General features: G+C 35.4%; 1 protein-coding gene across 6 annotated transcripts in view; it reads left to right on the forward strand.

Moving 5' to 3' along the window:
• CFAP299 (cilia and flagella associated protein 299) overlaps nt 1-18,590 on the forward strand; it is a 642,486-nt gene that overhangs the window by 456,292 nt on the left and 167,604 nt on the right. Inside the window, exon 5 of one of the 6 annotated variants that reach the window (XM_011531816.3) lies at nt 12,819-14,581. The exons of the other annotated variants lie outside the window; for them this stretch is intronic. Within the exon in view, the coding sequence (XP_011530118.2) occupies nt 12,819-12,890 (72 nt within the window). The 3' untranslated portion in view covers nt 12,891-14,581. Of the gene's footprint in view, nt 1-12,818; nt 14,582-18,590 lie in introns of those variants that run through there. 6 annotated transcript variants of the gene reach the window in all.

Consider the following 18,590-nt stretch of genomic DNA (forward strand, 5'->3'; position numbering starts at 1 on the left):
TTCTATCACTTCTTACTTCTACGCTCTTGGACCGTTTAGTCAAGATCTTAAAGGAGGAGGAGGAATTATCTTGAAATGCGTATTAATCAAATGCAATTTTGCAACCTTGCTTGTGTCCTGATTTCAATAAACTAACTCAAAGAAGACATTTATAAGACAATTGGGAAATTTTAGTGTGACAATCCTATTTTGGATATTTTTAAAGGGCCCTTAACTCTTAGAGAGGTATACTAAACTACATGCAGATGATAATACAACATTTATGATTTCCTTTAATATAATTCAGTGGAACTATGGCTACATGAATAGATGAGACAAGATTTACCATGTTGATATGTTTTGAAGCTGGTCAATAGGTACAGGAAATTCATTTACTATTTTATCCACATTTGTATTTTAAGACATTTCTATGATAGAAAAGCCCAATTTTTAAAAAGAGAAAAAAATTTACTTTTAGCTCTTTGAGTTGAACAAAATTAGCTTACACTTCAATAAAAAGTCACCAGAATTACTTTATTATTCCTAAATCCCTGGTATTTCCTCAGAGACATGAAAAGTCAGAAAAACAATTCCAGCTTCTAAAGTTTCAATTTCCTTATTGGGTCTCAGGATTTTTTTTAAAGTATCTTCTTTCTTTCAGTTTGTGCTATAGACTGGTTCAAGACTTTCTAGCTGAAGTACAACAGATATTTAGATACTGCCTATGCAGAATATGCTTGTTATACCAACTTGGAGAAGAGCAATTCTTATTTTATACCTGTATCAACCCTTAGAGCCCCCTTGTACAAATTGGAAAAAAGTGGTACTGCCTCTGATGGAGGCAATTTGTTTGGGCTGCACCCTTTGTTGATCCCTCAACTAGATGTTATTGTGCAGTGAACAAATTAGGTTTTTGTGATAGCCTTGGAATTTTAGAATCTTTCCTTTATTTTCCAAATTCTACTGGCAGTTAAACTGAGTTTGTTTTGTTTTGTAGAAAATTACTGGTTTACTACCCCCTCCTTCTTCACAGATACTGCTGGTACAAATTACTTTTAAGCTCTTACTAGATGACTCTTCTATCCATATCGCATGCAGTCTTCCTCTTCATGTAAACCAATGCACTGCAACATAGCCATTTCTTCCACAGATTTATAAAGGGATAGGGAACCAACTACATCTTTTAAAAACTAAACTTTTTATTTTGAAATAATTTCACTTACACAGTTTTTCCCAATGCCAACATCTTACAAAACTATAGCACAATATTACAAGCAGTATATTGTCATTGACACAATCCACCAATCTCACTGAGATTGCCCCAGTTTTACTTGTACTCATTTGTGTATGTGTTTTTAGTTCTATGCAATTTTATCCCATGTAAATTAACCCACAAATTTTCATCTGTATGATTTTGTAGATACTGTCTTAAACTATTGTAAAATAATAGCTAACATGTATTTACTATTTATTATATACCCAACAGTTTTCTAAGCATTTCATATATATTACCTAACTCAACACTCAGAACAAGCTTAGAAGGCAGACACCATTATCTCCATTTTATAGATAAAAACACCTGATGTACAAAGTTAAGTAGCTCACCCTTGTATCACGTAGCAAACTATGGGCAAAGCTAAAGCCTGCATTAAGCAGTCTGATCCAGCGTCTGTGCTCTTAATCTCTATGCTGCACTCTCTGACAAATAAGTTCATTTTCAGCAATTCCATGTCTTCAAAATGGGCACTAAGTGAGCATTTTTTGAGTCAACACCTCTACTCAGTATATTATCTAATTCTACCACAGAAAAGCTATTTTTTGCTGTCTCTGACTTCAGGTCATAGCCTGTCCAGCCCCTACCTAGCAATGTATCCTACTTTGCTACTGTGGCATGGAAATTAAATGCGACCAGGCAAGTCACCTGTCTAGCACAGTGCTAGAGATATGAGTTATTTGTCTTCTTTTCCCCTTGCATCTATTATTTTTTCTTCATTTCACCACAGTTAGGTTCTGCCCATGTCACCATATGCCTGAACTCCTACTAGATATTAAATTCAGACATCAGACACTGTTCATATATATACTGCAACAGGCTGTGGTCTTCTTAACCTTCCTTCAGCCTCTTCCAACCCTGTCTCCACTGTCAGTCCCCATTGGCAGGTATTCTCCTCATGCACTGGCATACTATTTCCTAAATCTGCACTTTACCACCCCCCTAATTGGCACTGTTGTGTCTTCTCAATCTTTGAGAAGACAAAGATTATCTGCTTTTATTTATTTACTCACTTATTTGTACATAAAATGATAGGACCTTTCTTTGAAGAAAACAGGCAAAATTCAGTATGTAAGAGAGACTGGAAAAAATAAATGTTCTCCGGAATCTCATTGACTCAAAGCCTCCATACTGTGGAGCAGAGCTTGGAAACACCTCTGCTTGTATTTACTGTACTTTTCCAGCATGATTTTCTACAGCTTGTTACACTGCTTTAGACTCTGTCATATTTTTTTCATATTCCTACTCTTATTGCCACAATTGTTCATTTTATGCTTTGATTCATACTTTTATTCCTTGTCTGGAATGGTCTCCTTCCCTCTCTCCACATCTGCAAATCCTACTTCTTCTTTAAACAAACTCTACGAGGTTTTCTAAGAAACTGCCTCCATTCTTCACTCCATCAACACCTCTTATTCTCCTCACCAGCATGTCTTTAGCTGCTATTGCCTCACCACTCATTTGGGATTTAATAATAGTATGTTACTTTATTGGAATTTATTGCTGCTGATGATCTCTCTATGCCATTGTAAGCTTTTGAAAGGCATTGCCACTTTCTCAGAGTCCCATCTTCACCACTAAGAAATCTTAGACAAAGTACTTCTTTGTATTCCCATAGCAATTAGCACAGCATATTAAAGTCTACCCAGATGTTTTGCTGAATGAATTACTAAAATGTGTACAACATCACAGCATAAGGTATAGAAATTACGTGATGTCCTCAGTATTTAAGAAGAACAACTTTTGGGTTGCCTTAGAAGAAAGCAAATTATTCTTATCAGTCTCCTAGTTCTTTTAGCATCAATAAACCTATTTATATCTACTGCTTTAAATGGGAACTTTGGTTAATAAAAAATTTTGTCTGACTATATACATAGGACTATTGCTAATGACATGCAAATAGAAATTATATATATATATACACAACTAAATTTGGAAACAATATATACAAAATATGTAATCCTGTGAGACATTATATATTGACTGGGTAGACAGAGTCTATATTTATAGTAGAACTAGAATAGGTGGTAAACAAAAATCCATAGAAGGATGGATAAGTTGATTTTTTTCTAAGTATTTTATGCCTATAAATTAGACCCAAAACTCATGAATGTTTATGCTTATGCTGATCCTTTGTGACAACCTTCTTCCATAAGAAATTTATAGAAAAATGTGTATTATGTAATTATTATATACATAATTATATGCTTCCTATATTTAGATAACATTATTACACCTCATTTTTTATATGTAATCAGGGTCAAGAGACCCTAGTATATTAGGTAAAGAAAGAAAAATTCAGTTGCCTTCTATCCAAATATCTTCTATTGTTGATGAATAATTTTTAAAATCCTGTTTTGAGGTACAAATTCACACCATTTTTCTTCAGAAAAAGTAACTTCGTGGAAAATTTTGTCTTTATCATCAGAAGTGTTTTATTAATATTGTTGATCCTTAAGACCTTAAAGTTATAGTTAAAGGTGTAGTTATAATAATCAGTCACAATTTTAAAGTGACACTTCAAAAAAGCCTGAGGTAAGAATGGATTTCAAATAAGAGAGGTGTATGTGATATTGATATATTAGATGAGGAGGATAGGTAAACACCTATATTTTGTATAATATTCTACAAGAGTAAATTATTTTTGTGACTTTATCCTAAAGGAATGGGTTTCATAAAAAGCAGAAGGGATAGCCAACAAAACTTGCCTGTCACAGCCTTTTTCTAGTCTAGGAATTAGACCAAGACTATTGGGAAGGGCTGGGTGGTAAATGATTAAATGTCATTGTTCATGCAATAAATATACGGGAAGGTTTCACTAACAAGGTTGTGCACTGATTTTCTATGGTCAGGCCTACTTGAGGTATTTGATATGACTCAAGGTTTAGTAAGTTTCCTAGTTTAAGTAGATTGGATAATTGGAGAAAATGACCAGATTACATAGGACAGGGGTATAATTTAGGATAAAGGAAGTGGAACAAATGTAGCATCTGAATAACTCAAATTGCTAAGCCACAATAGAATAAAAAAAAAAAAGGTCCCTTAGAAAGGAAATATAATAATGTGGTCCAGCACATGGGCTCTGGAATCTGACTGGCTCTTCTACTTACAGCTGTGCAATTCCAGGCACACTACTCAAGCCTTGTGCTTTATTGTCCTTTGTGAAATGTGATAATAATATGTCTACTTCATATAATTGTTATGAGACATCTACTATTTTTGCCCAGAATCATTCAGCCTATTATAGGCATCCCCGCTTTCCCTTTTAGCCTATGTGTTCAGAAGAAGTATGTGATTTTATCTGGACAATTATGGAATTTCTTTTTTTTTGGCTGTGTGATTGGTTCAGGGACATTGACATTCTTCAGTCAAAGCAAAAGTGAGACATCTTCTTTTCCACCAGATTGGAACCTAAAAGATGTAGCAGTGAAGCTTCCACATCCCTCTTGCTGGAAACAATATGAGAACAAAAATGGAGGAGAGCAAAGCCCATGGATGGAAAGAGATAGGATACTGTTTTAGCTCCTGAATTTAGCAGTTTGTGAAACAAGCCCTATCATACTTTTAGTTATTTTTAAACAACAAATTTTTCTTTTTCTTCAGCTTAAGACAGCTTGAGTTGGGTCTTCTGACACCTGAAATAGAGTGCTGACTATATGGACTTTAAATTATATGTATATATACACAATATATATTAATATATAACATATTAATATATAATATACATATATGAATATATAACATATTGATATATAATATACATATATGAATATATAATATATTCATATATAATATACATATATTAATATATAATATATTCATATATAATATACATATATGAATATATAATATATTCATATATAATATACATATATGAATATATAATATATTCATATATAATATACATATATGAATATATAATATATTCACATATGGCATACATATATGAATATATAATATATTCATATATAATATACATATATGTGTGGGTGCACACGAGTGTGTAATTACATATATATTCCATGTAGATATCTACATATATCAGTGTATCCATATCCCAGTTCCTAAAATCTACTGGTGCTCAGGAATTTAATGAACACTTCTTATGTATTCATTACATTCTAGATACTTTTCAAATGGCTTCAGACAAGTATGTAATTCTTATGACCTTATCAGGCAGAGTAGATTAGTTATCTATTGCTGCATAAAAAATTACACCAAAACTTGTATTTATTATTTCATAATTCTGTAAGTGAGAAATTAGGGAAAGCAGCTTATTTGAGTAATTCTGGCTCATGATCTCTCATGCTTCATTTCAGCTAAAATGTTATTTAAGGCAGCAAATCTCTGAAGGCTTGACTGAGACTCTAGTATCCACTTCTAAGATGAAAGAGTGGTTGAAAAATAAAGTAAGACAGAAGCTTCAATCTCTTTTATGCTCAGAAACACTATGTCACTTACACAATATTCTGTTAGTTACTCAAGTCAGTCTATTCAGTGTAGGAGGGAACTAGATCACAACCTGAATACTAGCAGGCAGGGACCATTGGGGGCCATTTTGGGGGCTGGCTACCATACGAGGCACCTCCATTTTATAGATGAGAAAATTAAGGCTTAGAATATTTCAGCAATTCGTCCAAGGTAGCATAGCTATTAAGTGGTGCCATTATTACATAATTATAATGTATTCAAAAACTCATTTTCCTTCATAAATGGATGTAAAATTATAGAATGTAAAACTTCTTTAATGTTTCTATCACTTGAATTCTGAAATAGGTCTTTGTTTTAAAACTATAACAAATATTAATTAGGCTAAAAGCAATATATCATTGCAAAAGACTTTTTCAAAGTGCTTATACATATATTATGGCATTTTGAACAACATCACTGGGTTCTAAAATAGAACCCATTTTTTGTTTTTAGGAATCTTTCAAAATTTGTTTTAGTTCAACAAAATATCCTAAATTGTAATATTGCAACCTTGCTCCTTCTTACATTTTGCTTTAAGTTTCCATTTTAATCCTTTCATATTAATTTATTTTGATAAACAGTGTAGTTAGAAGTCAACCCAGTTCATAAACTTTCTTCTCCTCTCCACCCCCACCCCTGGTAACACCGTTTTACTCTCTATCTCTGTATATTCAACTTTTTTTATGATTCTACATATAAATGAGATAAAGCAATATTTTTGTCTGTGTCTGGCTTATTTCACTTTGCATAAAGTCCTTCAGGTTCGTCCCTGTTGGGGCAAATGGCAGGATCTCTTTTTTTAGAGGCTAAATAATATTCCATTTGTGTGTATTATATATAGTTGTTTCTGTATCTTCATTATTGTGAATACTGCTGCAATGAACATGGAAATGCAAGTATTCTTACAAAGTGGTGTAGATATACTCCTTTAGTGTAAAAATATAGTCCTTTGTGTATATACCCAGAGGAAGGATTGCTGGGTCATACAGTAGTTCCATTTTTAATTTTCACAGAACTCAATCTACATTCCCACTAACAGTGTACGAAGGTTCCTTTTTCTTCACACCCTCGCCAACACTTGTGATCTGTCTTTTGAGGATGCCCATCCTAACATACATGAGGTGATATCTCATAGTGGTTTTAATTTGCATTTCCCAGATGACTAGTGATATTGAATGCCTTTTCACGTACTTCTTGGCCTCTTTCTTTCTTTCTTTCTTTTCTTTCTTTTTTTTCTTTTCTTTCTTTCTTTTTTTGAGACGGAGTTTCGCTCTTGTTGCCCAGGCTGGAGTGCAATGGTGTCATCTCGGCTCACCGCAACCTTGGCCTCCCAGGATCAAGTGATTCTGCTGCCTCAGCCTCCTGAGTAGCTGGGATTACAGGCATGTGCCACCACGCCCAGCTAATTTTGTATTTCTAGTGGAGACTAGAAATGGGTTTCTCCATGTTGGTCAGTCTGGTCTCCAACTCCCGACCTCAGATGATCTGTGCGCCTCAGCCTCCCAAAGTGCTGGGATTACAGGCATGAGCCACCACTCCTGGTCTTGTTGGCCATTTTTATTTCTTATTTAGAGAAATATCTACTCATGTCCTTTGCCCATTACTTAATCAGGTTATTTGTTTTTTTCCTAATGAGTTGTATGATTTCTTTACAAATTTTGGATATTAATCCATTATCAGATATATGATTTGCAAATATTTTTCCCAGTCCATAGGTTGCCTTTTCATTTTGTTGATTGTTTTCTTTGCTGTGCAGAATGTAGTCTCATTTATTTTTGTTTTCTTTTATAACCTGAGCTTTTATTGTGTGATATTCAAAAAAATCATTGCCAAGGTCAATGTCAAGGAGCTCTTCCTCTATGTTTTTTTTTTTTTTAGGAGTTTTATGGTTTTAGGTTTTACATTTAGTCATTTTATCCATCTGAGTTTATTTTTGTATATGGTATGAGACAGTTCAATTTCATTATTTTGCATGTGGAAATCCAGTTTTCCTAGCATCGTATATTGAAGAGACTATGATTATACTTTCATGGATAACTCTATGTGGTATCCTATTTTCCCGCCCTTACCAATGGTATTTCATTCACCACTGTCCTTGAGCTAAAATGTTCTCTTAACCATCAAGTCTATAATTCTTCTTCCAGAGTATCTGTAGGGTTTACCATTTCCTTTCTATTTTCATGGCCAGAATTTCAATAGATACTCTAGTAACCTTTGGCAATTTTCTGCTGGATGCTTGCATTAAATGCCCCAAACATTTATTTAGTAGAAATTGTGAAAATTTGGAATTATGGGATCTTGCATAGATGATTTTTGTTAACAATTAAATAATCACTTATTGGCCTTTTGGCTAAGATCAGGTTCAACAATGAAATTGCAATGTGTTTTAGTTAGTAAAAATCATTAGGCTACATGGAGAGCAAGAGGTTAGTATAGATGTTCTCATCTATGAGACATAATTATAAAGCTGTTTATTGAAGCCATCTGAATGGATATTTTTTTCCCAATGGTTACTGAGCTTAATATTTTCCACAGAGTGTGACTTTTTTAATTGAAAGAGTCTATAAGTGGTTTCATCAATTTAGGAAAGTGCCTTGCTTAAAACACAGTTAATGTAACTCAGTGCAGTAAAATAATTAATATTTTTTGAGGTACACTTCTTAAATCTAGTAATAAAATTTAATGTTCAGGGCAAAGCAGAACAGAATAATTTTAAAAAATCCTTGCAAGATTATTTTTCTTTTAATGTTCAAAAGGACCTCCACATATTTTCTAGAAATCTTGCAATTTGAAATTGCTATTATCTTTGGCTCTGATTTAACCAGTAAACTAGTTACCCTGAATTCTAAGATACTTGTGATAGACATGTGGCTTGTGAAGTATACCCTCTGTTTTGAGGGCTATAGTTTTTGCAGAAAGAACTAGTATTCCAGGATATTTTCTTGCCTTGGTTTAAGAAGATAACCTTAGTGTAATTAAGTCATAGTTTGGGGTGGAGAGGAGGTAGAAGGGAGACATTAAAACCAATGAAAACACAGCTGACCAAATTACTTTGGCTATTTGATGTAGCAGATACAACAAATTAAAAAGTGAAGATTTACAACACTATACACTTTACAGTCCAAGAGGGTTTGACATTCAGATTAATGAAGCTGTAAAGATAAATTGCTACGTACGTGCTTCTCCACTTTTCAAATATGAACTACTTTAAAAACTGAAGTCTAATTATGGACTATAGTCTTTCTGTGAATATTAATAAAAGTTTGGCCAAACCTAAATTATGCTTTCCATAACCTTTTTAAAGTCAAATGAAAACAAAACAAACCTCAACCAATTATAGTAACTGTGCTGTGTAGCAGGCTTGCAAATATATGATACATTTTGACAGCTGTTTTTTACTGGAATCCTATCAAGGCAATCACTAAATATTTTGGGATTCTTAAAATGAGAGAATGCTAAATTTGTAACTGCTTCAGCCACTGGAGGCCCCAGAGTTGGAAAGTGTCTCTTGGTTGTTACAGTGCTACCTACCAATGCTTGAAGGGTTGCTATATTGCTACCAATGCTTAAATCTGGATGACAATTTATGTAACTCAGATTCTCCAGTAATTAATGCAAAATAATTACTTTAAATGTAATCATTCCCTGTTCAAAATACATATACCATTTGTGCAAACAAATATATCCTTCTGATACACTTGATCAATAAGATAGAGAAAGATGATATTCAGAGATTTGTCCCAATAAAATGGGTTGAATGATTAGAAAATAATACTCTCAACAAACTTGTTAACAACAGAATGCTCTCAAGATACAGGAGGGAATAAGTGAAAGTGTGCAGTGCTGATCCTTGACCTTGGTACTCTCAAAAGTAGCTTAGATAATGCGATAATGTCTTATCTCCTGGGCTGGGCATGGAATATATATATATAATATTTTATATATATATAAAACATAATATATATATATAGTAAATATGCAATATCCACATATATCCCTGTGGTTAATCTCAATTTCCCTTTTGTTGTTGTTGTTAATGTTGTGTGTGTTTTACTTAGAATTAAGTTAATCTGAATCTTAGTAAAAATCACCTTTTCCTATCCTTCTACCCCTTTTCTTCCCTCTTTTCACTCTAATTCAGTCACCTTTCTTTAAATGTGTCACAGCCCAGAGAGCTTCAGAGTTTCTAAGAAGCAACTGAGTCAATTCCTTCTTGATTTCCTTATAGTACTTCCTTCTTGGACAGCAAAGTATCTTCCTCACACCACCAAAGAGCATCCTGAGGAAGCTCAAGGTAACCACGGTTAGTAACAGTTATGTGACCAACAGGAAACCCAAATTTTGCAGAAACATCAATTCCAAGCCCTTTTTATAGTAGGTCCTTTCAGTTACCAGAGCTCCTATGCCAGCACTACATAAAACAAGGCCTAAAATATTTAAGGCATATGGGTAGACTACAGCCCACCTAATTCTAATTTATCTATTGCCACTCCCTGACTTTCACTTTCTAGGGATATCAAACATATGGAGTTTTTCCCTATCTATTTTTGGTCATGCTATCCATTCTGCCTGAAAAAAAATTATAAATCCTCCCTGACACAGCTGAAGTGTCAGTTTCTCCAGAAATCCCTCTTTCATATCTGTGAGATAAGTTGTGCGTTCCCCTCTAATCCATGTCTTTCTAAGCTACCGGTTCTCAAACTTCAGTGTGCACCAAAATTACTAAAATACAGATTCCTGCGACTCACTCTCTGAGTTTCTGATTCAGTAGGTCTGCAATGGGACTTGAGATTTTGCATTTCTAGCAAGTCCCTAGGGGATGTCAATGCTGCTAATCTGGGGATTACACTTTGAGAATCATTTTTATTACATTTTAATTAAATGTAGAAAATAGGACTATATAGACTTTCCCCAACTCAAATGTGAACTCATTGAAGGCAAAGAATCTGGTCTTACCTGTCTTTATTTGTACTTTTAGTCCCTGAGCACAGTGTCTAACTCTGCGTAAGCCATCAATGCTGAAAAATAAAAGTTCATAAGCTTGGGAGTTAAGCAGAAGTAGACCTATAGCCTCATTTTACCGATATCTAACTGAACTAACTGTTGGATAACTTGGGTAACTAATTTTACCTGTCATGCTTTCAGTTTTGTCATGTCCATTTGAGGATTAAAATGTAGTGTACCCATCACATCTTGTTATTTTGAGATTCAATTAAATATATTGACATATATATGTATATATGTGTATAGACATATATGTGTGTGTATATATAGTGTGTGTGATAATCCTCTCTATGGGGTGTGTGTGCATAGTGATAAGCTCATTAGCTAGAACATCCTAAGTATTTTGTAAATGGTATCTTACTAGAGCTATGAATAAATTTGTTTGAAAAGATCTTTTCTTCTGTTTGCTGACCATTCTAGGTGCACAGTTTATACTGGCCAGCTTCTCTGGGGGTGAGGGGAAGGGAAGTGAGAGGAAGAGAAAAGCCATTATCCATAAAGGGCAAGAAGACACATAATCGGCCTCTGAAACATAATTTTCTGTGGTAACTAGAAAGTCCTTGTTTATTAGAAGTGGTTTAGGGTTAGACAATATGTTTTTGGGTTTTCAAAGCTTTGGTTGTCATTGGAATGAGTAAGCCTTTAAATTAAGTGTGGTTGACTTAACATAAACATCTAATACTTTCTTCATCTCCCATATCTGCTCTCTTTGGCACATTGCCAAGTCACTTGAGGGTTGCTGAAATACAGTTCTTGAATAATGTTAACATAAAAGGCTGAAGTTATTTTTCCATACACAGATTATACATACATGCATACTAAAATACTAAGAGATTTTGGTTATGAAAAGTCTTCAATTCTAGGAAATAGAGGTGAATAGCTGTTATCTGTATAAAAATATCCAAGCAGCTCTGTTCTGACCTGTGTTTCTTCAGCCTGCCTGGTGTGTAAGATGTTATTGAAGCTATCCTAACCATTGCAGTCCTAAAATCTGGGCATGCCTTTGTAAACAACTTAATCTTATGTTGTAGTGACTTAAGCACCAAGAAGAAACTGACTTATTAGTATATTTGGGTCAAGGTTTAGGAGGAGAGCAGCATGAAATTTAGAAAGGACTGTTAATTTCAATTAGAACCCATTCTACCTACATTAGATAGCCTCATGAATTTGGGCAAAAGTTAATACTGATACAAAGTTACCTGATATCAAATTACTAGACGATTTTGTTAATATGTTGATAAATTATTCTGTTCTAAAGATTTATATAGATAAGTGTTCAATTACTTTCACATCTATGAGTGAATAAGCAAACTTTATTAGCATGAACTATGTTTAAGTATTTTGACACGTATTTATTCTTCGCATGGCTTATTTTTATTACTACTTTAGAGATGAGCAAACAGAAGTACAGAATAACAGATTTGCCCAGAAAATAAGTCTTAGGAAGCTGTTTTGAGGACCTACCCTTGACCGCAATTCCAGTATTGACAAAATTTAATGCCTTCTCATCAAGCATAAACATTTATTAATCTGCTCAGATATTTTAAAGCTGTGCTCTTTCCTTAGGTTAGCAATCTAATTATTTTGCTGTCATAGACCACTCACCTTAAACAAATGAAATATGTCTTTATATTCGACCACTAGTAGGCAGACAAATATAAGTGTTAATATATCTACTAGTATTTTCTTACCTTAGTAGGAATCAGTAGGGGACTTGCTCAAGAATATCTAACAAATAAGTCAGAATCACCATATTTTCACCCCCAAAATCAAAACAATTTTTGCCTTTCCATGATAATTTCTATTACAGTTCTTTTGTGTGTAAACTAAGATTTAGCACTATTATCATTATTGAAGCATCCCCAAAATTTGCTATTTAAGGGTTTGAAAACCACCAGGTCTACTTTAAATGCATAATTTCTGTGAAATATGAATTGACCTGTGGCAAAATTATGTGCAGTTTCTCCATGTTTCCTAGCTCACAGCAGCACTTTGAAGTTTCATAGTCAAAAGATAACACATAGAAATTTCACAACCCTCAAAGGTCTGAAAGTCCCTGTCTTAGTGGTCAGAGCAATTTTCTTTTTTACAGATACTGGAACCCATCTTGAATCATGCTATGGACCGAAAGTCTGTGACCTCCCCACCTAAATTCATACGTTGAAATCTTCACTCCCTAAGTGATAGTATTAGGAGGTGAGGGCCTTTGAAGGACAATTACATCATGACGGTGGAACCCCCATGAATGAGATTAGTGCCTTTATAAGAAGAGCCGAGAGAGCTAGCTAACTCTCTCTCTTTTCATCAGGTAAGGATACAGTAAGTCTGCAGTTTGTAACCCAGAAAAGGGCCATCACTGGGTTCCTACTATGCTGGCATCCTGATCTTGGAATTCCAGCCCCTAGAACACAAAAAATAAATGTGTTGTTTATAAGCCATCCAATCTATGGTGCTCTATTATAGCAGCCCAAACTAATACAAACCACAATCAGCAGGATATTCAGAAGTTACCGGGGAGAATTGTTTGCTAAATTTACCATGACTATTACATGTGAACAAAGAACATTCATTTAATAATTAGAATACAATATTTTACCCCAAATCCTAAATAGCAAAAATGATTACCATATTAGAATTCTAATGGGGACATTTATCAATTTATTTTTGAATATACGTTAAACACTGGACTACATAACTGAGGCTTTGAAAATTTCCAATTATATAATGCCAATCATACATTTTCTTCCCCTAACATCCCCACCAAAAACAAAACAAAGCAAAATAACCTTATAAGTTTTCAATGACTAGCTCTTAACCATCTTCAAAGAAACATGAACACAGTATTAGGGTGAATGCTCTGATCGCAGATTTTATTATTATTCTAGAGAAATAAAATGTTACTTAACAAGTCTCCTTTTGTTCCATGAAAATAAAAAAAAAATCCCTATTATGGATAGGAAGTTCAGGAAAAATATATAAATCTGTGGTCTTTAAGGTCATATAGAGTAGATACGAATTCTAGCTGTTTTATTTCTTAGCTGGGTAAACTTGGGCAAATATTTAACCTCCTTGACTCTCAATCAAGAGGTATTATTGGAGATAATGGTGCCTATTCTGAAGAGTTGTAGTGAAGATTAAATGAGATAATATGTACAACATATTTAATACCATTCTTATACATAGGAGGCCCTTAATAAGGTATATTAGCAATTATAGCAATTGTTGAGATACAGCACATTTTAAGAAATTAATTATTTCAGTAAGATAGAAGTAAACTTTCCATGCGTATTGAAGACTTAACACTGAAATCTGAGAATGAGCATCTTATTGATGCAGAGGGAGTAAAATTCATACTGCTTTAACATGCCTTTGCAAACCCCTAAATATGTGCAAGCTGAGTTAGAAAAGAACACAGGTCTAGGAACAAAGAGCAATGAGTGAAGATTTCAGAGAGTTAACCTGTATTTTTACCTGAAGAAATGATCAACATAAAATGTAGAATCTCATTGAAAAGGGAAGTTGAGACCATATTCCCTCACAGAATGACATATTGACAGATATATATATATATACATATATATATCTGTATGTTTGAAATGAATGAAATCTTAGCTATTCACATGTGTTCTCAGAAGCATGGAGAATGACACTGAGGAGCAGGGAGCGGGGTTATCAAAAATATAAACAACTTCAGCAAATGGCTACTAAATAAAATACAACTGAAATGAATAATTCAATGTTATAATAAAATTTATCTGAACATTTATATAATGTTATCACACCCTATATATGACTTTGTGTCTGTAGCTTGAAATTATCAGATAAATTTCTGTATATAATAGCCACTGTGTGTAAATATTAAAATAAAAAGTTAAAATAAAATGTAATTAAAAATTTAGCTCCTTGGTAGCACTGAGGTGTGCCTTTAATAATATTTGATAAAGACAATAATCTCTACTTCACATTATTGGTTAGTGAAGTATTTGCAGGGGTCAGGCAGACTTTTGAAGTAAATTATGTCTGGGTTGATTTGGTCTCATAAGTATTTTGAACTTTCTGAGTTGCGTTAGGATTTATTATACTTTTGGATTAAACTCCTAAACTGTAAGTAATAGACTAGACATGAGTACAAAAACATCCCTCCCAGAGATAGTGAAAAACATTAAATTAACCTTTGGAGAAGGAAGAAATACATTAGAACTCAAAACACTGAGTGAAATCATAGTGTTGATATTTGAAGCTGTCATTACAGTAATGGTATATTTTAAGCTTGTTTCATTTAGATGTTATTTTTTATAGTGGTTGTGGGTTTGAGATCATATTAATAAGGCAAATAGTCAAAGTTGTTAAGTAAATCATACCTGGAATTTATTTTCTTTATATTCTTGCATCAACAAAGTCTGTGCTGAGAAATATTTGTTCAGATAGGTTTTCTGCGTTTATCCCTTTCACAGCCCAGCTTGTGTAGGCAAATTTAAATTTTGCAGAATCAACACATATTCACATAAAGCTCTTAAATCTAAATAAAAACTTGGTTATCTAAAGTTTTGTGTATATTTTTAGCTGTAAGACAAAGGAAGACTTTTAGCTTGGTCTTTCCATAATGTTTATGTAAATGTAGAAATCTAATAATATCCAGTTTGTTTATATTCTGACTATGTAATTGAGGGACATCTATTTCTTGTGCAACAATGGAAACAATGAATTTTGAGCTTCAAAAATTCATTTTCATATGCTAAATAAATGAAATTTTAAAGTACATGTGTTAGGGTTCTCTAGTGGACAGAACTAATAGGATATTTATATCCTATTAGTTATGTGTGTGTGTGTGTGTGTGTGTGTGTGTATGGTAGTTTATTAAGTATTAACTCACTTTATCACAAGGTCCCACAATAGGCTGTCTGCAAGCTGAGGAGCAAGGAGAGCCAGTCTGAGTTGCAAAACTGAAGACCTTGGAGTCTGATGTTCAAGGGCAGGAAGCATCCAGGATGAGAGAAAGATGTAGGCTGGGAGGCTAGGCCAGTCTAGCCTTTTCACGTTTTTCTGCCTGCTTTATATCCTGGCTATGCTGGCAGCTGATTAGATGGTGCCCACCCAGATTAATGGTGTATCTGCCTTTCCCAGCCCACTGATTAAAATGTTAATCTCCTTTGGCAACACTCTCACAGACACACCCAGGATCAATAATTTGTATCCTTCAATCCAATCAAGTTGACAGTATTAACCATCACAGGTCAACCCCTTGTCAATTTGCCCCATACACATTGCCTGAGATCATACATAATCTTCAAATAAAGACAATAATAAGGTCATAATTTCATCTAACATAGTACAACTATCCTTCGTACAACCAGAAACACACCAAATCCCAACCCAAATGCTATTACATAAAGTTAACATCACTTAAATGCTGATATGAAGTCAATAAATCTTATGTCACAGGATATGGGAAAAGGGAAATAAAATGAAGATATTTTCTTAGTACAAGTGTATACATGCACAAACATGTTTTTAACAAAAGATAGAGGAAATACTCCTCATGACTCATTTCTGCAACTGGTCATGTGGTTGTAGCTGGTATTAATGACTACCTCGTCTACTATCCATTCTGTATTCCCTTTGCCCTCAGCAAGCACCTCAGAAAGTTGTGTTATTTTTCCTGGTGGAATGACCCAAACCTTCATTCCTGAAGAGTCTGGGCCATTTGTAGTCTTGTCTGGATTGGTCTGTTGTAGTTTCCCATTGACATTAATCACAGGGCATAGTAATACTAAGAGATGCCCTAATGGATCCATGCATACTCTTCCTTACCTCCATTCTGGAGAAGTAAACTGATTTCATCTTGATAGTCTGGGTCAATCACCCCAGCCAACACTGTAACTTGCTTCTTACCCTGTTGACTTAAAGGTAGGAGAAACCCAAAATGTCCAGATGGCAATCTTAAGTTCCAGTTTACTGGAATCATTGTTGTGTCTCCTGGTGGCAGCATTCCTCCTTCTGGAACTAAGACCTCTAGGCCAGCAGAATGTAATGTTGTAGGAAAAGGAAGCAAAAATTTTGCTAGTGGATCATTAGGGGTGATGGCAAGTGTTGCCACTTCCACTTCCACCCCTTGATTCCTGGACCTGTGAATCCTGGCTATGGGAGGAACAGTATCATGTATTGGACTCTGATTCACGGGTCTTCTGGAGAACTTTACCCCAGCCCTGCAAAGCACTGTCACGTAGTTGGCATTGTAATTGTGACTTCAAAAGACCATTCCACTGTTCTATCAATCCAGCTGCTTCAGGATGATGGGGAACATAGTAAGACCAGTGAATTCCATGAGCATGAGCCCACTGCCACACTTCTTTAGCTGGAAAGTGAGTGCGTTGGTCAGAGGCAATGCTGTGTGAAATACCATGATGGTGGATAAGGCATTTCATAAGTCCACATATGGTAGTCTTGGCAGAAGCATTGTGTGCAAGATAGGCAAACTTATATCCAAAGTAAGTGTATATTCCAGCGAGGACAATACCTTTTCCATAATGGAAGAGGTCAAGTGTAATCAACCTGCCACCAGGTAGTTGGCTGATCACCCCAAGGAATGGTGCCATATTGAGGGCTCAGTGTTGGTATCTGCTGCTGGCAAATGGGGCACTCAACAGTGGCCATAGCCAGGTCAACCTTGGTGAGTGGAAGCCCATGTTGCTGAGCCCATACATATCATCCATCCCTGCCACCATGGCCACTTTGTTCATGGGCCCATTGGGAGATGACAGGGATGGCTGGGGAAAGAAGCTGAGTGGTGTCCACAGAACGGGGCATGCTATTCACTAGATTATTAAAATCCTCCCCTGCTGAGGTCACCCATTGGTGAGCACTCACATGGGATACAAATATCTTCAGTTTTTGACCACTCAGAGAACTCCATCCACATACCTATTCTCCAAATTTCTTTGTCATCAATTTTCCAATCATGCTTCTTCCAAGTCCCTGACCATACAGCCAAACCATTGGCCACAGCCCATGAATCAGTATATAATTGCACAACTGGCCATTTCTCCTTTCATGCAAAGTACACAACCAGGTGCACTGCCTGAAGTTCTGCCCACTGGGAATATTTCCTTTCACTGCTGTCCTTCAGGGATGTCCTAGAAAGGGGCTGTAGTGCTGCAGCTGTCCACTTTCAGGTGGTGCCTGCATATTGTGCAGAACCATCTGTGAACCAGGCCCTAGTATTCTCTTCCTCTGTCAACTGATCATAGGGAACTCCCCATGAGGCCACTGGTGCAGGCTGGGGGAGAGAAGGCAGAGTGGCAGGAGTGGAGACCGTGGGCATTTGAGCCACTTACTCGTGTAAGTTGCTTGTGCCTTTAGGACCTGCTTGAGCCCAGTCACATACATACCACTTCTATTTGATGATGGAATACTGCTGTGCATGACCCACTTTATGTCTAGTTGAGTCAGAAAGCACCTAGTTCATGATAGACAGTTCAGGTCGCATGGTGACTTGATGACCCATAGTCAAACATTCAGTTTCCACCAAAGCCCACTAACAGACCAAGATCTGTCTCTCAAATAAGAGTAGTTATTTGCAGAAGATGGCAGGGACTTGCTCCAAAATTCTAGAGGCTTCTCCTGTGATTCATGTATGGGGACCTGCCAGTGGCTCCAAATAGCATTCCTATCTGCCACTGACACCTCAAGCACCATTGGATTTGCTGGGTAATATAGACCAAGTGACAGAGCAGCTTGCACAGTAGCCTGGACCTATTGCAGTGCCTTCTCCTGTTCTGGACTCAAAACTGGCAGCCTTTCAGGTCACTTGATAAATGAGCCAGAGTAACACACCCAAATGAGGAATGTGTTGCCTCCAAAATCC

Source organism: Homo sapiens, chromosome 4, assembly GCF_000001405.40.
Source record: "Homo sapiens chromosome 4, GRCh38.p14 Primary Assembly".
NCBI lineage: Eukaryota > Metazoa > Chordata > Mammalia > Primates > Hominidae > Homo > Homo sapiens.